Source organism: Homo sapiens, chromosome 18, assembly GCF_000001405.40.
Source record: "Homo sapiens chromosome 18, GRCh38.p14 Primary Assembly".
Classification (NCBI taxonomy): domain Eukaryota; kingdom Metazoa; phylum Chordata; class Mammalia; order Primates; family Hominidae; genus Homo; species Homo sapiens.
The window spans coordinates 2,680,829-2,706,153 of record NC_000018.10 but is presented as its reverse complement, the minus strand read 5'-3'; the positions used below and the strand labels follow the sequence as shown (position 1 = coordinate 2,706,153).

General features: G+C 35.7%; 1 protein-coding gene across 10 annotated transcripts in view; it reads right to left on the bottom strand.

The window, feature by feature from the left end:
• SMCHD1 (structural maintenance of chromosomes flexible hinge domain containing 1) overlaps positions 1 to 25,325 on the bottom strand; it is a 149,292-nt gene that overhangs the window by 98,864 nt on the left and 25,103 nt on the right. For all 10 annotated transcript variants that reach the window (XR_001753172.2, XR_935055.3, XR_007066135.1 and 7 more), the window contains 9 exons: positions 17,646 to 17,760; positions 17,407 to 17,526; positions 11,461 to 11,627; positions 9,032 to 9,122; positions 8,113 to 8,323; positions 5,495 to 5,615; positions 5,236 to 5,419; positions 2,268 to 2,462; positions 347 to 460 (listed from right to left, as the gene is read on the bottom strand). Coding sequence is in view for 7 of the 10 variants with exons in the window: in XM_011525642.2 (XP_011523944.1) it covers positions 347 to 460; positions 2,268 to 2,462; positions 5,236 to 5,419; positions 5,495 to 5,615; positions 8,113 to 8,323; positions 9,032 to 9,122; positions 11,461 to 11,627; positions 17,407 to 17,526; positions 17,646 to 17,760 (1,318 nt within the window). In the remaining 3 variants the exon portion in view is untranslated. The remainder of the gene's footprint in view (positions 1 to 346; positions 461 to 2,267; positions 2,463 to 5,235; positions 5,420 to 5,494; positions 5,616 to 8,112; positions 8,324 to 9,031; positions 9,123 to 11,460; positions 11,628 to 17,406; positions 17,527 to 17,645; positions 17,761 to 25,325) is intronic.

Sequence of the window (25,325 nt, the reverse complement as noted above, 5' to 3'; positions counted from 1 at the left end):
GCATGGTATAGGGAAAAAACCCACTCCAGTTTTGTAGTTACTCATTGCTGAGATAGAATTCTGGCTCCAATGTTTACTAGTTAGTGGGCCCTAGAGGAAATATGACTTTATAAAATTAATTTGGTAACTAGTTATAATGTATATATGTTTACAAAAACTGAGCATATGATGTTAAATTGTATAGATTATTAAAAACATCAACTTATGACACATAAAAATCCACACAAAAACTACAACCACTTTATCCAATGGAAAACTAGTCACTAGCGAAATATACTGTATCTTAACAATTATGCAAAAGTGTTATCAAGAAACTTTCAGTATGTTTTATCACTTGCTGTCTTACCATTGCAATTTGAACCTCTCCTCCTGTAGCATATACTTCTCCATCATGATCGCCATAAAGAAAAAATCTTACTATGCTTCCATAAAAGAGGGGAAGTGTCTTGATTGTCTTGACCTAATATTTAGTTTTTAAAAAAAAAAAAAGCTTCAGTATTAAGATTTACGAAGAGAAAAAGGCTTAATAATAATTTTACAGAACTTCTTTATTACAAAGAAAAAAACCTTGGTAACTATCATTAGAAAAACTAATGAAAACAGCATTCTAATATTAAAATAAAATTGTATTTTTGAAGTTCTGTACTTAACAAATAGTTGTAAAAATATGGCAGCTTCTTTATACAAATGTGTTAGAATTAAGCATGTGTCTTACAAGTCCAGAATTCCTTCAAATTCAGTCATAATGAATGCCAACATATCTGAAACCTTTTTTCCCCATAAAATTCTGCTCTCAGATGATGAACAGCAATTTATAAACTTTGACAAGTTAATATTATTTTTCAAATACATCAGCTCAAAACTTGCCTATCATATTTCTTCTCCTTACTTGGTTTAAAAAATCTAAGGGAAATTTCCACTACTCCAATTCAGAAATTCCCAACAAGGACTATAAGAGTTTATCCCAACCTACCTTGCCTGCCCCATTTCTAAACTATTTCTCTTCACACATACAATAGGCAGCAGGACAACCCAACTCTTACTACTTGCTGTTTTTCTGCACTTAACCTACGCACATCTCTATGCTCAGATTACCTTCTAGAAAGCACTTTACTCCATTACCACTAAGCATTTGACTAAACTGATCACTCCTTTCTTCTTGTAACTCTTCACTTGGCTCTAGGGATGTCACATTCTGCTAGTTTCCTTCTGTCTCACCAGCTTATCCCTGTCAGTCTCCTCTGCCAGCTCCTCCTTTTCATTCTAACCACTAAATGTTGGGAAAGCTCCAGGCTCAATCCTTTTACCTCTTTAGCTATACTCACCAAGTATAGATGATCTCATCCAATTCTATAGCTTTAAATATATGATGGTATCTCTCATTTATGGAGAGAACAGAGAGCCTTCTACCTTGTAATTATCTGTGTAAACCTGAGCCTCTACCCCTTTCAAGGTCCACACAAATGTTACTTCTTTTCCAAAGTATTTAACGATCTGCTCTGTTCTTCCAGCCCACACGACCAACCAAAGTAAAAAAAAAAAAAAAAAATCCTCTCCTCTTCTCTCCTTCTAACCTGCCAAAACACTATTAATCCTTTCTTTCCATTGCATTGATCCACTTCTTACCTATTATTTATGCTTACACTATCCCCATTGCTAGGATATAATATCACCAAGAGCAAAGCACATCTCCTATATCTCTGAATTCTCCACCACACAGTCAAAAGGTGCAGTAACTTACTATGTCAGCAGATGCTCAACAAAAAAATACTTAAAAATCATTACTTAACGCATTACATTAAAAACAAACAAACAAACAAAAAACACTGAGATCTCCATGTGAGTAAAGTTTAGTTTAGGAAACCATAAAAACCTTGTTAATTGAGCCTCTGGCAATAGTTTTTTTAATGCTATAATAAATTATGGAATTTAAAATCAGTTTGTCCTTTTCATTCTTACCTAGCTCCTGAGGAGCCAATATTTGCATTATTTGTTGTTACTGTTGTTAAATTTTAATACATCTAATTTAGTCTCAACTTCTACTAAAAATTGAATCTAAAAATAAGTTAAATTTCCTTAGAGATGATGGAAGACACTGATGTCAAACAGGCCTGTGAAGAGTCTGAATAAATGTTCTTCATGAAATGTGAGAATGGGAAAAAAAGAAATTTTTAAAAATAGCTTATTTTCTATACATGTGATTCTGCATATGTGTTTTAAATTAAATTAAAAATTATAAGAAAAAAGTGACAATAAGTTAAACCTACCAGCTGTCCTGCTTTGTATATCTTTCCATCCCATTCTATTGCTGCATATGTTGCCCAGGGACCTTGCTTTTTAGAAGGAAGATCAGGACGTGTAATTACTCCCTTAAAAAGTGTAAATTTTATTTGTTTATCATACTTCTCATGACAGTCCTTCAGCCACAAAGCAAATTCTCTGTCAATTTTCATTCGCTGTTCCTGTAGAATTTTAAAATGTTTTATGAAATATAGCTACTAGCAAACAAATATAACCATAAACATTTGTCATTCATTTTATTTTTTTCCTTTCATATACTCCAATTCAGAAAACCTAATAAAAAATTAAATATTCTGCTGGATCCTTCCTCTGTACACATTTAGGATATTTCAAACAAATGCATTACCAAAGAAGAAAAATTTGATATTATTCTTAGAACCAAGGTATCCCTGGTCAATATCAACAATAAAACCTTCCTTTCCGCCTTTAATTCCTAGGATACACTAAAAACTGATGAACCCTTACTGCCTGGGAGGAGAACTAGCTAGCTCCACAAAAGGGATGAGTGGAGGCCTTCTAACTGTAAACCACATTCTCAATGGGACGATAAAAATCTCATTGTGTATCAAGTACTTTATAAACGTGAATACAATATACAAACAGATAGATGGTAAATCTGCAGTAGTAAAATTTCATTGGGGAAAACAATTGAGAAAAAGATGCCAAGAAAGACTCCTTATGAGGGTGATAACGAAAAAAGGTTGAGAAACACTGCTATGCAAAATGTACTTTTCTTTTTAATTTTCTCTTTTATATATAGAGCCTATCCAAAAAATAAACTCATAAAACTGAAGTGTTTTCTAATAATACTTAAGAAGATGTGTTTTTGCCAACCATTCTTCACCCTGTTGGGAGAGAATACAGAAATCTGTATTCAAGCATAAGGTGCTATACACTTGTTTGATGCCTGCCTCTAGGGCAATGAGGAGGTAAGACAATCTCCCCATTACATGCTTTCGCAGAGGACAGTCTGTAAAGTTACAGAACTCCATTCCTTCTTACGTACCTTATACCATAATATACCATTTCCAAAGGAAAGTAAGGCAAAATTAAAAATAATTTCAGCCTAAGTTTTTGATGCTTGCTGTCAAGAAGGATACTATCTTAGTTATTAATAAATTTGATTTTTTTAAAGTTATATGAATGAAAAAGGAAATATATATACATGGTAAAGACTCACAGGTCCAATATGGTATACAGTTTCTGGGAAATTGCTGCCACACTTACTCCTATAACTAGGTACCAACTCTTTCCCAAATCAGCAAATCATTGTTGTCAGTTTGCCAGCTGACATGGAGATTAAATTAGTAACTAGGAACCAGAAAGTCTGACAACCAAAATGTTAAACTACCCTTCTAAAACTCTCAGGATGGATTCACTATCAACCAAACAAATTACCAAATGCATTAATTCCAGACACTCAGTAACAGTCAAAGTACAATTCAGAAGGCATGTCAAGGTGACAGGTAACCTAGGGGAAAAGTATGCAGATATTCACTTTATAATATTCTTTCAACTTTTCTGTGTATTTGAACATTTCCTTCTTTTTTTTTTTTTTTTAAATACAGAAGGTGTCTCACTGTATTGCACACGCTGGTCTTGAACTCCTGGCCTCAAGCCATCCTCCTGCCTCAGCCTCTCAAGTAGCCAAGATTACAGGTGTGAACCATTATGCGCAGCTTGAATGTTTCAAAATTAGAAAATATATATTTTAAAAGTACAGTGTAACAAAGGAATAGAATTAACTTATTCTGGATAGCTTTTGAAAACACCCACTGCTCAATAAATGTTGGATAACTAACACCATATTATAAATGAATTCTAAGTGTATTATAAAGGAGTAGTAACTCATTTTGATAAGGTCTTTCTCGGTGTATAATTCTTAAAAGTGTCCTAATCTTCTATGATTCACAAGCTTTATAAGAGCAAAATTAATTTCAACATCTTACAGGACTGACTGACTACAAATACTATGTACTATGCACTGTATTTATTGCCCAGCAATAAATTGATAATAAAATCATCTATTTCTTGGCAATTCAACATTAAACTACTGAAAGAGTAGTATCAAAAGTCTCTGAGGTCTGTTCACAGAATACAAGTACACTAGTATACTAGTTTCACTCAACTTTGTAACAAATTTCAAAGTGAAATCATTCTTGTTGTATTAATCAATACATGTATTTTAATACTGATCAATCTCAAATCACCTTTTAGCTCAAAGTACTTCACAGTTTTACCCCATTTTTACCCTCAAGACTAGCTAAAAATTGCACAACTAGGTTATTAATATACAAATATAGCCCTTAAAGCAAATACAATTGTTCATACATGTTCTCATTAAGATGCTTCTGTGGCTTCTACTATGTCAAGGGCTAGATATTAAGATCTTGGCTGGGTGCGATGGCTCATGCCTGTAATCCCAACATTTTGGGAGACCAAGGCAAGTCGATCACCTGAGGTCAGGAGTTCGAGACCAGCCAGGCCAACATGGTGAAACCCCATCTCTACTAAAAATACAAAAATTAGCCAGGCGTGGTGGCACGCACCTGTAGTCCCAGTTATTTGGGAGGCTGAGGCGGGAGAATAGCTTGAACCTGGGAGGCAGAGGTTGCAGTGAGCTGAGATTGAGCCACTGCAATCCAGCCTGGGAAACAGAGTGAAACTCCTGTCTTAAAAAAAAAAAAACAAAAAAAACTAATGAAGATATGTAAATTCTATCCAAACCTAGTCTTTACTAGGTAGGTTTAGTCATTACTAAAAAATTAGCTTTAAATTTTTTAGTAATGTGAACACTTGACTGCTCATAAAAAAATTTATACATCATAGTCTTTTGATGCAAAATATCAATAAAAACCTACACTGCTAGTGTCTTCTTTTACTTAAAAATAAAACATTTGCAAATATTCACAACTTTATATTTAAAAATCATACCTGTCCATTTAAAATCCTTGTAAAAAGGGTGTTCTTATCTTTCAATTTTAGCTCAAGATCCATAAACGTCAATTTATTTGTGCTGACCTGGAATTTGTCATTAGTGAATAATGCACCAGATATCCTATTGTAGCATTCAATTGGTGCAAGCCCTCTCTTCTTAGGAGGAGTACACCAGTCAAAGCTTGAACAGAACAAAATGTTAGTTAGTAAAAGAATTAAGTTGTAAAAACATAATTTCAGCAAAAATCAAACTTACTCTTCAACTGATGTATATGGTATTAATCGTCCATTCCAAAAACATTCAAAAATAGGCCTTTTCCCTCTAGCTGCTTTCTCAAGTATGAAACAATCATCTTCATCATCTTCATCTTTTAATTCTAGATCAAAAGGGCAAATGGAACAAAATGTTTATTGCTAAAATGTGAGAAATAATGAAACAAACACATAAATGTTTCAAATTGCATTCTATAAAACCTAAAGGTAGTTTTATACTGTTTGCCCACAAAAAGGTAGGTTTACAAAGTGGTTCCACATTACGAATGCTGTCTGTCATTTAGAAGTCAATAATTACTTATATATGAACCAATGTACTAGCTGCTGGGCCTGTCATCTTTAAAACCTATTCATGAGGCTAAAAGAGTCTTACATCCAAAAAGATTATCCCCTATAACAAAATCCCTCCTTCCTACAAATATAGGAGCTTAAATCCCGTATCTAAAACAGTTTCACAATTTTATCAGAACTAGTATGTTCACATGAAAGTCATCTGAGAAATCTATGACATCTAATAGCAGCGAGTTTACCTAGTTTGAACAAATTAGTGAATGATGCTAAAATTAAGTTTACTTTTTAGAAATTATTTTCAGATTCAAGTAAGCATGAAAAATGTACACAGAACTGTAAGACATGTTACTATGCATCAAGAGCATTAATTTGCACAATTGTCTATAATCTTATGTTTATTAGCAACACACTCTCGTGTATCCAGATAAATTAGGATTAAACAATGTGATCCTGACATATTAACACCTCAGCTACCCTGGAATTAGTTTACCCACCTAAAACAAAACCTTCTCCCTAAAAGCCCTCACAAGAAGTCCCTTATATAAAAGCTGCTTTCAATCAAACAAAATCACTTTGCTCTTAGAGGAGAATCCCTCTGATTGATCACTCAACTTACTTGCTCTTCTTTTTAAGGCAGCATTTGAAAAAAATTATATCTTTTTGTCTATTAGCACACAAAAATTGGAAACAGCAAATTTAAGAGGTCAGAGATGGCCAGGCACAGGGGCTTACGCCTGTAATCCTAGCACTTTGGGAAGCTGAGGTGGGAGGATTACCTGAGCTCAGAAGTTTGAGACTACCCTTGGCAACATGACAAAACCTTGTCTCTAATAAAATACAAAAAATTAGCCTGGCATGGTGGTGGGCACCTGTAGTCCCAGTTACTCAGGAGGCTGATCCATGAGAATTGCTTGAACCTGGGAGGCAGAGACTGCAGTGAGCCTACATTGTGTCACTGCACTCCAGCGTGTGTGGCAACGCAAGACTTTTGTCTCCAAAAAATAAAAAACAAAACCAAAAAGGCCAGTGGAGCCACTGAGTAACAATATGTACTGGGCAGGAGCACTTAATAAATAGTGTTGAGCACTATTCTGAGAAGTTGCCCCAGTTTTTAAATTTGATCTTCACAACACCCCTATGAGGTGTGAACTACCCATTTCCCAGGTAAGGAAACTAAGGCAGGGAGTAGTTTGTCCAACAGAAAGTGGCAAAGATGGGATTCGAATCAGGATCTCTGGTTGCAGGCCCTAGAAAACCAAGAATGTACTAAGGAAGTATTCTGAATGAAAAAGTTTAATATTGTTAACCTATAAATTCAATGCAATCCCAATAATCTCACTAGAATTACTTCAAGTGAATGTACAAAGCTGATTCCAAAATTATCTAGAAGAGCAAAAGTATTCTCAAAAAGGAACAATAGTGAAAATGTTTTTTCCCAAAGATACCAAATTACAAGATAAAGCTACAAGACAGTATCATTACTCATATTAAAAAAAAATAAAATAGTACTTTATAGTAAAGAATCTAGACCTATGTACTTATGGGAACTTTGTATTATACAAGTTCTAACTCTTGGGTAAATTATAACATTCAATAACTGGTGCTAAGAAACTGAATATGAATACCACATAGAAAATAATTGTTAAATCCCTATCTCTCTACTGGGGGGGGAAAAAAAGGTGGGGGCCAGGTGTGGTGGCTCACACCTGTAATCCTAGTACTTTGGGAGGCCAAGGCAGGAGGATTGTTTCAGGCCAGGATCTTAAGACCAGCCTGGGCAACACGGCAAGACCCCATCACTCAAAAATTTAAATAAATAAATAAAACCCCACCTTGCTCTACATACAAAAAAGAAAAACACAGATGCATTGACCATAAAATGACAACAAAAACAAAAAAGCTACAGATTTATATAATTTTGAGATGTAAAAAGCCTTTCTACAGTAAGACAAAATCAGAAAGCATAAAGAAAAAGTTAGTAAATATGACTGCATAAAGTGTAAAACTGCAACAAGGATAAAGAGAAGACAAGGGAACATATAAAGGATTAATACGCATACATATCTAAAAGTTTGGTTTCGTAACAGAACTAAAAGAAGAGTTCATTAAAGATTTATTCATCTAGAAATGAATGTACACAAAAATCAGGAATTACAAAAATTACAAATACCTAACAATCTAAGACTTGCATAAGAAAAAATTTAATATTTATCTAACCTGAATAACCCAACCGATAATCATTTAGAAAAACAAATCACTGTCCTAAATTACAACTTCATATTTTATAACTAAGATAACAGATTAACATACTTGATGGAAAGCATGGATCATCAGGGTAAGTTTCTCTATCATATAAGAATGGATGATAACGGATAATCCCTTCCACTACACCATCTCCTTCAACATGAGCTTTGAATTCAAAACTATCAGCTGCTGTGTTTACATACAACGTCTGCATGTCGTCTTGTATTTCCCTTAGGTTGACAATCTTAGGTACCTTCCCTTTTTCAAACATAGAAATCTAAAATAAAAAGGAAACAAAAATAATTAAATTCTATGGTAACTTTACTTTTGTTCTCAGCTATGATTCAACAACAGAATAAGTAAAAATTATGTTTATTTGTACAAGTAACAATCTGGCTTAATGAAATACATATATTTACATATGAGTTAAACAGCTTTAAGTAGCATCTCAATAAGGAACATACTACTAAAAAATATAAAGTAAGCAAAGAAACAGCAAATCAGAGCTGAAGGACAGAAAAGTCATGAGTACATTTAATTCGAGGTTTCTTGCTAGAGGTAGGAAGTGGGACAACATCGTATGTGAAATTCTAACGTGTGGGTTAGAGGATTGAGAATCCAATACTCAAATGCTCTGTGCTGCTAAACCTTGTCACCACGATATAACTTCTACAAACAAAAGGAAAGCTACATTATCTCCCTTTTCCTCCATGCTTCAAGAGATGATTGATGTTCAGTAACAATGCATAGCTCCACAGAAGAGAGACAAAAAAAGATAAACCAAGCCTACAGTAAATAAAGGTTTGAGAAAAATACATCTAGGAATAATCTCTTTAGTTGGATATCAAACAATGAAAGTAGTTTGGTAAAAAACAAGGAGAGAGAAGTTGTCTAATTATCAAGTGTTTTTTATTATCCTGAGTCATTTGGAACTGGAACAAATATCTCATAATTTTTATTATTTTAAGATGGATTTTTCTCTTACTTCAATATCAATATTGTTGAAAGGTTCAACTTCTTTTGATGTTCGTATTTCATTTCCTTTTGGGCCATGAATATAGTAGTGATAAATATGCCTAAAATAGAGAAGAATAATTTTATACTTTTAATTCACATAAAATTATAGTTAATGTAATCTTCTATCAAAATATTTTAACACTATTTACTAGGTATCAAGCACTTTATTAAGCATTTTAAAATACATATTCCATTTAATGGTAAAAACAATTGAGATGCAGGTATTACTGCATCTCATTTTACAGATATAGAACCTGGGGTGCAAGAAGTGTATGTAAGTTATCTGACATCACAGAATAGAGTTAGGGAGCCGTGGGCTTCAACCCAGACCTTTCCAACTTCAAAGACCACATACACCACTTCCAAGAGGAATAATTCATCAAATAAATATAAACTAGACAGCAAGAGTCTATAATTCTACTTACCAGGTACGTTCCAGAAAGGACTCAATTATCGGTGGTAAACTGGATTAGGTATCTAATCTCAATAAGAGAATACCATTCCAGAACAGCAGTCCCCAACCTTTTTGGCACCAAAACCAGTTTCATGGAAGACAATTTTTCCAGAGATGGGAGTTGAAGGGGGGTGATTTGGGATGAAAATGTTCCACCTCAGATCGACAAGCACTAGAGTCTCATAAGGAGCACGCAATATCTCACATGCACAGTTCACATTAGGGTTCGTGCTCCTATGAGAAATCTAGTGCTGCCAGTGATCTGACAGGAGGCGGAGCCAGGTGGTAATGCTCACTCGGGCCCACCACTCACTGTGGGGCCGGGTTCCTAAAAGGCCACAGATGGGTACCAGTTCACGACCGGGGCGTTGGGGACCCCTGTTCTAGAACATTCATCTCTCCTCTCCTATAGCACTGAGACAATCTTACCCTAAGATTCCAAAAACAAAACTAGTAAGTTTGACACCATCTCACTGAAAACCAACATTTTGGAAATAACACCTCTTTATTTTTTCAGAAAAGGTTAAAAAAGATTATATTTTGGTAACATTGTTCAGGATTATAAAATACCACGTCTTTATTCGTGAAATAGAAATTTGCAATATTTCTTCATAATCCTTCATTAGAGCAAGAGTATATTTAAATTATGTGTTAATGTACACTGAGTTCCTTCAATAAACTATAAAATAGCTAATAAAATATGTACTTGAAGAAAACTGCAAAGTCCTACTTAAATACCTTGGGTAACAGGGATAATAAACAACTTCAACAAGAAAAAAGGTATTCCTAAAACCAAATTTATTTTCCCATAAAAAAATTTTAAAATTCTCTTAGCGTATAATTACGTATAAAATTGAGACTCTCAAGAACAATAGCCTTTTGGGTAAATGTAAAAAGATACATTTTTAAAATATGAATTTTGAGCAGATGTACCCATTTTGCAAGTCTCAGTAATTCATACTAATGCAAATTAGGGAAACAATACAGTAAATCGTATGTATCACATAGCTATAAAAAAAAAATTTTAGGCCGGGCGCGATGGCTCACGCCTGTAATCCCAGTACTTTGGGAGGCTGAGGTGGGTGGATCACCTGAGGTCAGGAGTTCAAGACCAGCCTGGCCAACACGGCAAAAACCTGTCTCTACTAAAAATACAAAAATTAGTTGAGTGTGGTGGCACGCGCCTGTAATCCCAGCTACTCGGGAGGCTGAGGCAGGAGAATCACTTGAACCCAGGAGGTGGTGGTTGCAGTGAGCCAAGAGTGCGCCATTGCACTCCAGCCTGGGCAACAAGAGTGAAACTCCGTCTCAAAAAAAAAAAAAAAAATTTTTTTTTAGAGCCATTAAATAACTATTCCTCTGATTTGGTCTAATGGAATATAGAGTCCCTACAAGTGTTACTGGAATAAAAACACAATGATTATTTTCAGTACTAATGTCATATAGGCACATATGTACGTATATTTTTTATTTTAATAGGCTTGATGCATTCATTCACTTGATAAACATTTGAGCATCTACCATGTAGCAAGTATTCTTCTAGAAGACATTGGAGATACAGCAGTGAATTTAACAACAAAAATAAATATATATGGTATGGAAGATTACGACAGGTCCTATGGAAAAGAAGCACAAAACGGGGTCATGGAAGTGATATAGTGCTCAATCTGACAAACTGTGAAGTTCTTTTTTAATTTTATAATATTGTCAAAATCCTGTGCCTCAAATAATGCTCAGTACACTAGAGGTGATCTATAAATATTTACAGAATAAATGAATAGAGAGCTGTTTTAACACCAATATCAGAGTACTGGATAATACTAAAGGGAAGAAAATGAGACAGGAGCAAAACGGATACCAAAGAGGCTTCAATATATCTGTAATGTTTTCTGCCTTAAAAAAGTTAAGTAGCAACATTTCCTAAGCCAAATATAATTACTTACGCTAACTGTCGTGTCCAAAGGTGGAAATAATTTTTCAAGTACTGTATGTGTTCTGGTTGTACCCCTGTGATAACCACAGCAGTAAAGCTATCTTTTTCCTTCTCCTCTATGATAAGATGATGTAGAAATCTTTCATCATCATTTGTAATGTGAACAGAATCAGAGGGCTACAAGAGTGAACAGAAATACAACAGATTAAATCATCTAAATTATAATTATACAAATAGCTATTGCATCAAATTTTAATGTGATTTACTTGGAGTTTCACAAATAGGTTTCAGAAAAGCTTTGGAGGAAACTGGCCCAATACAACAAACTGGCTGAGTATGTGACAACACTGTGAAGACAAGGGAACTTTCACACAGACTGCTAAACTAGCATGCATAAAGAGCACCCTATCTTATAATGCTAAACCGATTTTAGAATCATAAACGAAAAGGTAAAGACAAATACTGAGTTTTAAAATGCCTTAAAAAATTGAGGACACTTACCCCTAGGGTAGAATGAACGCTTGCTTGGGAGACCTACCACTTAACTTGGTCAGGACCAATGCCCAGCCCTCCATGTTCAAGAAAACTACAGGGCAGGCTGGACCCAGCTAGCTAAGCCCAAACACATAGTGCTTAAAAGTAAAATCATCCTGGACACCAACCCACTTTCAGAGAATATCTAAAACTTATGGAAGGGAGTTAGTAGGGGAATTTGAGGATAAAATTACAAACTTCTCCATCTGTAGTATGAATCTATGTTTTAAAAAATTGCAGGCCGGGCGTGGTAGCTCACTCCCGTAATCCCAGCACTTTGGGAGGTTGAGGCGGGCAGATCACCTGAGGTCAGGAGTTTAAGATCAGCCTGGCCAACAAGCCGAAACCCCATCTCTACTTAAAATACAAAAGTAGCCAGGCGTGGTGGTACACGCCTATAAACCCAGCTACTAGGGAGGCTGAGGCAGGAGAATCGCTTGAGCCCGGGAGGCTGAGGTTGCAGTGAGCCAAGATCGCGCCACTGCACTCCAGCCTGGGCAACAAGCATGTCTCAAAAAACAAACAAACAAACAAACAAACAAACAAAAAACATGGTATGCACGCATGCGCGTTTGTGTGTGTATTCATATACAGTCATATGTCACATAACATTTTTGTCAACAATTGACTGCAGTGGTCCCATAAGATGATACAGTATTGTAAAATTAGTGTACCTTTTCTATGTTTAGCTACACAAATATTTACCATTCTGTTACAACTGCCTGGGGTAACAAGCTGTACAAATTTGTAGACTAGGAGCAGTACCCTATACCATATAGCCTAGGTGTGTAGCAGGCTATGCCATCTAAGTTTGTATAAGTACACTCTATGATGTTCACATAGCAACAAAATAACCTAATGACACATTTCTCAGAATGCATCCCTGTCCTTAAGTGATAGGAGACTATATCTACTGTGTATGTTGCTATATACATTATAAAACTGTGGAAATAAAAACAGACTAAACTATTCTATCTAGGAAATCAAGTTGATTTTTAAAAATAAGTATGTATGATTACTTGCTTAATTAAAAAGTGTTACAGCTCTTTCAGAATTTGTCTATCAAATTCTAAAATTTCTGATTTAAAAAACAATAAATCCTTAAGACCATACCCCTTCAAAACCATTATAATGCATCTCTATACACTAATTGCTAATATCACAGCTACAATATATACAAGTAACATTTCATATACTTTGAGTCAGGAGATTAGTCTGAATTTACTAACGATGCAAATTCATTATCCAAATATTTATCAAGCATCTTCTGTAAGTCCTATGCCTCAACTTGGGCCTGAGAAAGATAGGTTCAAGATAAATAAGACAGTGCCTTTGTGCTCTACAAATTCCATCTGGTAGGAGATGAAAAAACAAATGATTACAAAACAATATGCTATTATGTATGAAGATATGAACCAAGAGCTACAGAGGTAAAACGAGGGTGACAGTCACCCAGCAGATGACTGAATAATAACATTCCAGACAAATGAGAACATGAATTCAAGAGCATAAAGGAAACAAGGTAGTTTTAGGACATACGATAAACATGATAAAAGATGAAGCGGGATGGCTGAATTAGAGCAGTGGAAAGTGGGTGGAAGAGAGGATAGATGAAAGAAAATAATATAAAAGACAAAATTAAATGTGCTGAATGATTAACAAAAAGGATTACCAACTTTAACTGCATGGCTAGTGGATGCCAGTAATTGTAAAGGGTAGTTGAGAGGAAGACAGGAGAAGGAGAGAATAAGAAAGGTTTACGGATAATATTTGATCTCTTTCTTTTAAGAGACATGGTCTCTCAATGTTGCCCAGCTGGTCTTGAACTCCTGGGCTCAAGAGATTCTCCCTCCGCAGCCTCCCAAACTGCTAGGATTACAGGCATGAGCCACTGTGCCCAGCCAATATTTGACTTCAAAGGTACCAAAAGTGAGTTACTCCTCGAACACCTAAGAAAGAACATCTAATTGAACCTGGAAATGAGTGTACTGGATATGATCAGTTGGTATTCATCACCCATTCCTACCACCTTTTACTGTACTCTCTTGGGCTGCAGAGGTTGGAAGGCAAAAAAATACTGTTTGGATTGTGGATGCAAATTAGTTTTCACCAATTAGATGTACCAGCCAAAATGTGGATGCCAAAAATGAAGCAGAGGCTATTTCCTGAAGTTTTTTAAAAGTTTTGTGTTATCACACAAGGCACTGAAAGATCAGTAACCAGGTTTCAGGTTTAAAGTGTCAAAAGGCCACTGCAGCCCTAGTTATGGCCAGAAACTCTGTTTTCCAGTTTTGGAGCAATTGTGGCAGTGAGATCATTCCAACTCGTGGATCACAGATACAGCAGCGAGTTCCTGAATCCCAGACCCAGTGGTGGTCCTCTAACTGAATGATTATAGCAAATGTTGCAGCATCCCTCCAGGATAACTTCAGATTCCTGGCATCATTCTAGAAGGCTTAGCCCATAATTCATTCCTTTGGCCCTTCCAATAATCAGGTAAGCATCTAATTCCCTCTATTAAATATTTTCTGTTAAAAGGCCCAGGATGGTCTGTTTCCTTTACTGAAGCTAGCATGATTCAGTGTCTCAGTATTGAGAAAAGTTTTCACACGAAACACAGATTTGAGAGCTTTTGACATAAGTAGCAAATAACACATCTTTAGAAAAGGTAAGACTGTTGACTATAGAACAAGAACCACCAATTCCACCCACATTCTGAAAACTGCTCACAGATCAGAGATAGAAGTCCAACAAAAATAGGCTGGAAAAGACTAGTCAGAAAAGGAAACAGACCAGGTACTTGTTGGTACCCAAGAAATGTTTGTTGGGAAGAACTAAGCACAAAACACAGAAAAGGCTGGCAGAAAAATGGTGCTCCAAGAGACACAGTTGTATACAAGCTTTGTAATATGCACACAGTTTTGAAAACCACCTAAATTCTCAATTCCTATTTTTCACCAGTTTTATCATGGCAAGTAATATTTCCACCATTATATTTTATAGGGCTCTGTGGTGGTTAAGACAAGATGGAATACTGTTATGTAAAAATATCAAAATATGCAATTTGTTAAGTAAATGAAACAAAGAAAAGAAAGTAATGTCCTGCACAAAGGGTATATTAAGTTATCGAGAAAATAAAAGTGGATAATAAAATGGAAAAAAAAAATCCAACCCATCAACTAATGAAAGAAAAGGTTTTTTTTTTTTTTTTCAATTATCAAATGGCCAACATTTTGCTGCCCTCTCCCCTTCTCATTCTTTTGAAAAATAAATGATCAGAAATGTGCTTCCATACAGTTGTTGGAAGTGTATGTGACTTTGGGTTTAACCTTTCTGACAAGCAGTTTTGAAATACATGCCATGAACATTTAAAAAGTTCAAATTCAGGCTGGGCGTGGTGGCTCACACCTGTAATCCTAGCACTTTGGGAGGCCGAGGTGGGCGGACTGCCTGAGGTCAGGAGTTTGAGACCAGTCTGGCCAACATGGTGAAACTCCATCTCCACTAAAAAAAAAAAAAAAAAGAAAAAAATTAGCCAGGTGTGGTGGCATGTGCCTGTAATCCCAGCTACTCAGGAGGCTGAAGCAGGGGAATTGCTTCAACCAGGGAGGCAGAGGTTGCAGTGAGCTGAGATCATGCCACTGCACTCCAGCCTGGGCAAGAGAGTGAGACTCTGTCTCAAAAAAAAAGTTCAAATTCATTACCACAGCTATTAAAATTATAACAATCTAACCTAAGAAAAAAATCTGTAATTCAGGTAAGATGTTATGCAAAGATACTCATCGCAATGTCTTTACAATTACTGTAAAATCCTTTAAATAAGCCAAATGCTCAACAGAATCATGAAATTATGTTACATTCATTGAAGGAAATGTTATAAAGCTACTAAAAACCATTGTGTATCAAAATATTTTATAATGGGGAAATACTCAACATGTTAATTTTTTAAATGTGGGATCAAAACTATTAAGTATATATTTTAAAAAGCTGAATTAGAAGGAAATTCACCAAAATGTTTCAGTAGGCTTCTCTAGGACTTGGGAGTATTTTTATCTTCCTTAGGCTTTTCTATAAAGTTTCCTACAAGTTGTTTTAGAATCAGAAAGCCAAATTTTTAAAAGTTCAAAATTACCTTTTAAAAATTTTTTATTGTTTTTGAGACAGTCTTGCTCTATCGCCCAAATTGGAATGTAGTGGCATGATCATAGCTCACTTGCAGCTGGGCTCAAGTGATCCTCCCACCTCAGCCTGCTGAGCTGCTGGGACTACAGGCGCACACCACCACACCCGGCTTTTTTTTTTTTTTTTTTTTTTTTTAGTAGAGACAAGGTCTCCTATGTTACAGAGGCTGGTCTTAAACTCCTGAGTTCAAGCAATCCTCCCACCTCAGCTTCCCAAAGTACTGGTATTACAGGACTGAGCCACCATGCCCAGCCCAAAATCACTTTAAAATAAATATTTTCCCGTAATCCCAACACTTTGGGAGGCCAAGGTTGGAAGACTGCCTGAGTCCAGGAGTTCGAGGCTGCTGTGAACTGTGATAGCACCACTACACTCTAGTCCAGAGGGACAGAGTGAGACCCCATCTCTTAAAATAGTAAGTAAACTAACTTATATATTAAAGATTTTAGATTAAAAATCATGTTTCAGGCTGGGCGCGGTGGCTCACGTCTGTAATCCTAGCACTTTGGGAGGTTGAGGCAGGCGGATCACTTGAGGTCAGGAGTTCAAAACCAGCCTGGCCAACATGGTGAAACACTGTCTCTACCAAAACTACAAAAAAAATTAGCAGGGCATGGTGGCAGGCACCTGTAATCCCAGCTACTCGAGAGGCTGAGGCAGGAGAATATCTTGAACCTGGGAGGTGGAGGTTGCAGCGAGCTGAGGTTGCGCCACTGCACTCCAGCCCAGGAGACAGAGTGAGACTCCATCTCAAAAAAAAAAAAAAAGAAAAAAAATCATGTTTCAAACAAAGAAGAGTTGAAGGAATATACAATAAATATACCATTTACTTGCCACCAAGATTCAAATTTGTTAACATTTTGTCTTATGAACACAAGAATTTCAATGCAAACTTGTAAGAGCAATCTCTCATTTATTTCTCTAGAGGTCCAATTTCCTGAAAGTCCATTACCCTGTTACTGTTTTTCTACTCTATAATTTTATTATACAACAAAGATTTTAAAACCCAAATTCAGACCAGGGAAAAAAGCTTACAATCCTACAAGCAATTTACAGAAAGCTTAGTAAGCTTTATGAGACAACTTGTCTGAAGATTTTTGGCTTGAGAAAGCCCATTTTTGTTATTATGACTAAAGGAAAGGGTAACTCATTTTGAAAATTTCATACTTTCAAGTTAAGTTCTGTCCCACCGTCTATCCAAAGGAGTAAATTTATAATTATGAGTTAAAATGTATTGTACCTTTCTGTTTCTAATATATCCACTATATATTGCCTCTTTATTTTTCTCCTTCTTCTCAAAATCTTCTTTAGAAAGCACAAGCTCGTGAACATCTTGGGAATCTGCAGGTTTGCTTATCATCTGTTAAATATTAAAAAGAGTACTTTTTAAATTCCTAATAAACTGGTTAATGCATTTAGACAGAGTCAACTTCAAAATATTTTGATCAACTTTCATTTATAAGAAATCTTTTTACTTACTCTGGCTGATTGTCCAACAAAGAAGACAGCTTGCTTGCCCCCAACACCAAAATAGGAAATATCACTATTTAAACTGCGTGGCACTGGTACTGGACGAACATATCCTGAATGATCACTAAAATAAAACATTAATGCAGTGATTTTAAACAAGCTAGTTAAGTGTCAAAAGAAACTTTCATTGCACTTGTATTCAGTGTTAATAAAATGATCACGCCTGCAAACACCCCTAACTGAAAGGTGAAATAATCAGTGTCAAGACATCTACTCCAGTGCATCTCAAAGTGTAGTCCCCAGGCCAGATGCATCAGCTTTAGCTGAAAACTTTTAAGAAATGCAAACTCTTGGGCTCAATCCTACTAAATCAGAAAATCTCTCAGCAAACAGGACTAAATAAGTATTTTTATTATCCTCATGCCTCTAAAACTTTCCTTCAAAACTGTTTGCTACTTCAAAACTTGCTAAAATATTGTCTGAAGAATAATGGTAATTAGAGCAAAGGAGAGTCTCACTTCCATATATCATGATAAATGAAGAGCTCTGAGGGAACAGTGCACCATAACAATATTCTGAAGAAGAGGCATCACTGGTCTTTCAAAATGTAGGCAAAGTCTCCGGGGACATCATCCCCCATTATCAGAAATAAACAGAATGAAGGTGAGGCTGGAACCACTATTAAACTCAATGGAAAGATTAAAGAGCAGGTGTGACATAGCTGGAGAGAATTAGAGAACAGAAAGATGCAAAGAACGTAACCACAGGAAACAAAGAAAGAAAAGAAAACTGAAAATATCAAAGTGGCGTTAAAAGACATAAATGACCAAAGGAAAATATCTGGCACAAGATTAAATGCAGCTCTAGAAAGAGAAGGGACAGAGAATGGAAAATAGCTGTAAATATTCTTGAACCAATAAAAGACATGGCTTCACAGATCCAGGAAAACCAAAAGAGCCCAAACAAGATACATAAAAAGAAATCAACATCACTGTAAACACCAAAAACCAAACAGAAGAACTAGAAAATAGACTAAGAGATAAGACAGGACAAAACAGATGAGCAGGCTTTGACAGCAACAGTAAAAGACAGAGAGGAATATTATCTCTATAGTGCCTGAAAAAAATCTGTTAACCTAAAATTGTCAACTAGAGAAAAATAAACAATTTATAGATAAAAACCAAAGTAATTTACCACCAGAAGACTTGTTCTAAAGAAATGTTCCTACAAGCACAATCTAACATACAAGAGGTCACCATAATACAACACATACAAAAGTAATTTTTTTAAGGACTACATATGAGACATTTACTGGTGTGGTGAAAAACTGGTGTGTGCATATTGTTGAATTTCTAAAAAGTCACACTTTAAATACCTTCAATAACAAAAGTGTCATTTCAGGAAGGGAGTGACCAAAGCTAATGAAGTCCTTAAGTTGGGGGAAGGAAAATATTTTAAATCCTGAAATCTAAAGTTAAATATGCATGTTAAAACTTCAAAGAAGATCAGAGAAGATATAAAGTCTAAAATATTAAAAAGAAAAAGATGGAGCAAGAAAACAAAACAGCAGAAGACAATAAATTTAAGAGAAAACAGAAGAAACAGAAACAGAAAGAATGGGATAAACAAAAACATTTTAATTGGTATAAAAAGTCCTATCCTCATATATAAATAATCAAAATAAAGACAACATTGACCAGGTAGGACACTGTAATACCAGAGATACAAAACAACAAAAGCACCCAAAAAAGTATCCCCTCACAATACCCTCCCAACATCTACAATCACATCCCCACACAACATACACAAACTGTCGACACAAAATAACACACAGAAAATGCCTCCCCACACAAGTTTGCATTTATACAAAACACCTCACACAATACACAAACACACAACTACTTTCAACAGAAACACACACCACAATGCTACAAAGCATACACACTGATGATTTAAAAAAAAAATCTTAAAACAAGTCAGAGAAAAACAGACTATATGTTTTGAGATACAAAGATAAGACTGACAACAGATTTCTCCTTATAAACGATGCAAGCTGGTAGAAAATTGAGTGACATATTTAACATACAGGTTTGAGTGCCCCTTATCCAAAATGCTTCGGACCAAAAGTATTTCAGATTTCTGATTTCTTTTCCAATTTTGGAATAGATGCATTATACTTACCACCTGAGCATCCCAAGTCTGAAAATGCAACATCTGAAATGTTCCAGCAGCATTTCCTTAAGTGTCACATTGGTGCTCAAAAAATTTTGGATTCTGGAGCATTTCAGATTTTGTATTTTTGAATTTGAGATGCTCAACTTGTACTTAAATTTTTTGAAAGTCAAGCTCAAACAGATGCTCAGCAAAACTATCTTTGGGGTTTGGGGGGAAGAGAGAGAGCCTATCAGACATACAAAATCTGAAAAAAATTCACCAAGAACAGACTCAAGTTATAAAAGAATGTTTAGAAAGAGCTTCAGAAAGGAAAACAATACTGGACAGATTTACACAAAGGAATGAATACAAGCTCTAGTAAATATGGTAAATATGTGGGTAAACATAAACTGGTTCAGGGACTCAGATTTTGCATGCAAATGTTCATAGCAGCATTATCAAAAGACAAAAGGTAGAAACAACTTGTGTCCATTAATCTATGAACTGATAGACAAAACGCAGTATGGTTGTACAGTGGAGAATTACTCAACCATAAAAAGGAATTAAATTCTGATACATGCTACAACATGGATGATCCTCGAAAATTATGCTAAGTGAAATAAGTCACACATGACAAATACTGTATAATGACAAATACTGTATAATTCCACTTAAATAAGGTACCTTGATTAGGTAAATTCATTGAAACAGAAAGTACAATAATGGTTACCAGGGGCTAAGAGTGGGAGCAACAGGGAGTTACTGTCTAATGGGTAAAGCTTCAATTTGGGGGTACAGGGTAAAAAAACTTTAGGAATACATAGTAATAATAGTTGTAAAAGACTGTGACTGTAATTAATGTCATGGAATTATATACTTTAAAATGGTTATAACTGCAAATTTTATGTTATTTATATCTTACCACAATTTTTTAAAAGAGAACTGCTTTAAAAAGGGACAGAATAGGCCAGGTGCGGTGGCTCACGCCTGTAATCCCAGCACTTTGGGAGGCCGAGGTGGGCGGATCACGAGGTCAGGAGATCAAGACCATCCTGGCTAACACGGAGAAACCCCATCTCTACTAAAAATACAAAAAATTAGCCGGGCGTGGTGGCGGGCGCCTGTAGTCCCAGCTACTCGGGAGGCTGAGGCCGGAGAATGGCGTGAACCCGGGAGGCAGAGTTTGCAGTGAGCCGAGATAGCACCACTGCAGTCCGGCCTGGGCAAAAGAACGAGACTCGTCTCAAAAAAAAAAAAAAAAGAAAAAAATAAGGGACAGAACAGAACAGTGTGCTGTTGGAAAACAGGGCAGACGTGTATAGTTTAGCAAGAAATGTCAGGAAGTTGAGAAGAAGCCTTTTTACATTAAGGAGAGAGGCAAATGAATATTTAAAGCTAAATAACAATACTGTACTTTGACATTTATGCCAAAGTAAAATGTACAAAAACAAAAGTACAAAGACCAAGATAGCATAAACGGAAGTATACTGTTGTGATGTATTTATATGCGAAGTGGTTTAGTATTACTTAATACAGACTGTGATAAATTAAAGATTTATACTATGAATCCTAGAGTTTCCAGTAAAGTAACAGCTATAGTTAATAAGCCAAAAAGGAAATAAAATGGAATCACACACACACACACACACACACACACACACACTGAATCTGCAATAAGGCAGGAAAAAAAAGAAAATGGGAACAAAAAATAGGCAGGAAAAATAAAAAATTAACAAAGATGGTAAACTTAAATCTAAACATATCAATAATCCAATTAAAAGCAACTGATCTAAACACTCCAATTAAAAGGCAGAGATTGTTAAATATTAAGACACAAATATCTATAGCGTAAAAGAAACCCTCTTTAAATATAAAGAGACAATAGGTTAAGAGGTTGGAAAAACATTTACCATTTTAACACTAATGAAAAGAAAGCTAGAATGAATATATTAACACCAGAGAAAGTCAATAAAAGATACCAGGAAATGAACAAAGAACAATTAAAACAAATAAATGGGTAAACAGATGATCACTCTTTGTATTATTACATTTAATTACATTATGGATGTAATAATATCCAGTATTATTTTCCTTTCTGGATAACGTAATAATATCCAGTATTGTTTTCCTTTCTGAAGATCTTTCTAAACATTCTTTTATAACTTGAGTCTGTTCTTGGTGAATTTTCTTCAGATTTTGTATGTCTGACAGGATCTCTCTCTTCCCCGCAAACTCCAAAGATAGTCTTGCTGAGCATCTAGTTTGAGCTTGACTTTCAAAAAATTTAAGTACAAGTTGAGCATCTCAAATTCAAAAATACAAAATCTGAAATGCTCATTATACATTTAATTACATTAAATGTAATAATACAAAGACGCTAAATGAAATTGTAAGTGTGGTTATAAAACATGAACCAACTATATGTTGTCTATAAGAAACCCATTTCATATATAATAATAAAGGTACATTAAAAGAAAATGGATGAAAAAAGATATAGCATGAAAACACAAATGAAAAGAAGCTGGGATGGCTACACTAACAGAAAAAGTACACTTCAAAGCAAAGAAAATAACCAGTGACAAAGAGCAACACTACATAATGAATAAAAGGGTTGGTCAACCAAGAAGGCACAGAAGGCATAACAATCCTTGGAGACTTCAATACCCCCTAGTTACTACCACACAGAAAATCCAGCAAGGATATAAAGAAATGAATAATATCATCAACCAGTAGAATCTAACTGACATTTTCAGAACACTTCTCCCAACAAGAGCAAAATACACCTTCTTTTCAAAGACACATAGAAAATTCATCTAGATAGATAACATCCTGGATCATAAAACGCAACAAATGTAAAACAGCTGAAATCACTTAAGAGTACATTCTCTAGCTATCACGAAATTACACTTGAAATCAATAGAAAGACAATAGGAAAATATGTTGGAACACTTATAAATTCACACACTTTTAAAACAATCCACAGGTTAAATACCAAGTTGCAAAGGAAAAAAGTAGACTAAACTGAATGAAACAGAAAATACAGTGTAACAAAACTTGTGAGATGCTGCAACTTATTTCCTAGAATTATGATTAACCAAAGTCTATGAGCTAATGTTTATTAAGAAAAAAAAAAGTAAATGAGTTCTAAGTATTCAGTTACTATGGCAATACTTCTAGGAAATAAGTTGAAAATACTCTCTGATATTTTCCTTAAAATATTTCTGGGAAAATATACAAAAGTTTAGAGAAAGGAGAAGCTCACTGATAAAACACAACATACATACATCAGGTCATGCAAAACTAAAGAATTCTCTCCACTAGTTAGAAATGCACAAAATCATAAATCCCTTTTTCAACTTAAATGACCCATGCAAACCAAATCTAGGCAACAACTCTATCACAGCAAGTAAGGCTGAGAATATTTATTTCAAGACAGTCTCAGACTTGTGTTAATGAGTCTAGAAAAATTCCTATATCCACTCAAGGACTATATAAATATCCCTTCATGAATATAAATAAAAGTAGAAAACTACAAGTTCAAGGAACAGTTTTACACCACAGCAGTCCTCTGGAGAATTAGGAAATTAATCTCCTTCAGGAATAAATTTACATCAAAGTCCAAAAATATTTCAGAAAATATCTTAATTCATAATCTTCATACAATGAAAGGACACTTAATCTTTGGGAAATTTTGATGGAAACAAAACATAAGAGGTGTCTCAAGTAAGAAAAAGTATCAGGGGGCCGGGCGCGGTGGCTCACGCCCATAATCCCAGCACTTTGGGAGGCTGAGGTGGGTGTATCACCTGAGGTCAGGAGTTCAAGACTAGCCTGGCCAACATAGTGAAACCTCACCTCTACTAAAAGTACAAAATTTTTCAGGAGTGGTGGTGTGCATCTATAATCCCAGCTACTTGGGTGGCTGAGGCAGGACTGCTTGAACCTGGGAGGCAGGGTTGCAGTGAGCTGAAATCACGCCACTGCACTCCAGCCTGGGGCTGAGAGGTGGGACTCTGTCTCAAAAAAGAAAAAGGAAAAAAAAAAAAAAAGAAGAAGAAAGAAAAGAAAAAGTTATCAGCGAAGAGGATCAAATTAGTAAAAGAAACTATCTAAATGATTGCCAGGAAGCCAGGGTAGAGTAACTACGTATGTATATGTCTCACTATCTTGAATCTAACAAAGGAGGAAAAAAAAAACACCAAACTTAAGAAAACTCCACCTCTAACAAAACTGGCCACCAATCTCTATCAGAGCCTCTAGAATAAATGTGCCAGACATATGGAAATGACCAAATTAAAGTAGGGTGCTTAGATGTTACAAACGTATTCCCAACATTCAAGTAAACACAAATATTAGAAAACAAAAGCTCATCTTAATTTGCTGAAAACCAACAAAGACAAACCAGCTTTTTCTTTAGGAATATTAGGAAAAATCTTGTTGGGGATCCATTTCTACAGCTTAAAATACATACGGCATGGGTCATGTAGCATTTTTACTTATTCATATTTCAACAAAATGGCTCTGAGTTGAGAGCCTTTTAATTGATGGGCAAGTTGAAAGTGCAGAAAGAGTAGCGCTGACCCAACACATACCTGAATCCAGCTGACCTAACTAATGTCATACCTCTCCCCTACAAAATAATTATACACATACTATTATAATTATGTCCCAGGTATCCAAGTTAAATTCTAAAGCAATAATTCTTATAGTGCCCAAGTTATGAGAGAATTTTCTAGGTTTATGTAATGTTATATATCCTTTTTTTTTTTTTTTTTTTGAGAGATAGGATCTCACTCAGTCGCCCAGGCTGGAGTGCAGTGGCGTGATCATGGATTACTGCGGCCTCGACCTCCTAGTCTCAAGCGATCCTCTCATCTTAGCCTCCTGAGAAGCTGGGGCTAAAGGTGCAAGCCACAACACCTGGCTAATTTTCCTTTTTTTTTTTTTTTTTGAGATGGGGTCTCATTCTGTCACCCAGGCTGGAGTACAGCGGCGCAATCTCGGCTCATTGCATCCTCCACCTCCCAGGTTCAAGTGACTCTCCTGTCTCAGCCTCCTGAGCAGCTGGGATTACCAGCACACACCACCACACCTGGCTAATTTTTGTATTTTTAGTAGAGACAGCGTTTCGCCATGAAGGCCAGGCTGGTCTTGAACTCCTGACCTCAGGTGATCCGCCCACCTCAGCCTCCCAAAGTGCTGGGATTACACGCGTGAGCCACCATGCCCGGACTACACCTGGCTAATTTTTTAAAATATTTTTTGTAGAGGTGGGTTCTCATGTTGCATAAGCTGGTCTCAAATTCCTGGGCTCAAGCAATCTTCCTGCCTCAGCCTCCCAAAGTGCTGGCATTACAGGTGTGAGCCACTGAGTCTAGCTTATTGTCCTATATCTTAACAAGGGTTTGAGATACACAAGTGTATATATTTGTCAAAAATCAGTAAACGAGTGAACACTTCCAGAATGGTGGCATAAGGACTTCCAAGAATCCACTCACTGATGAAAGTAATGAGAATGCCTGAAAAAACTGTCAA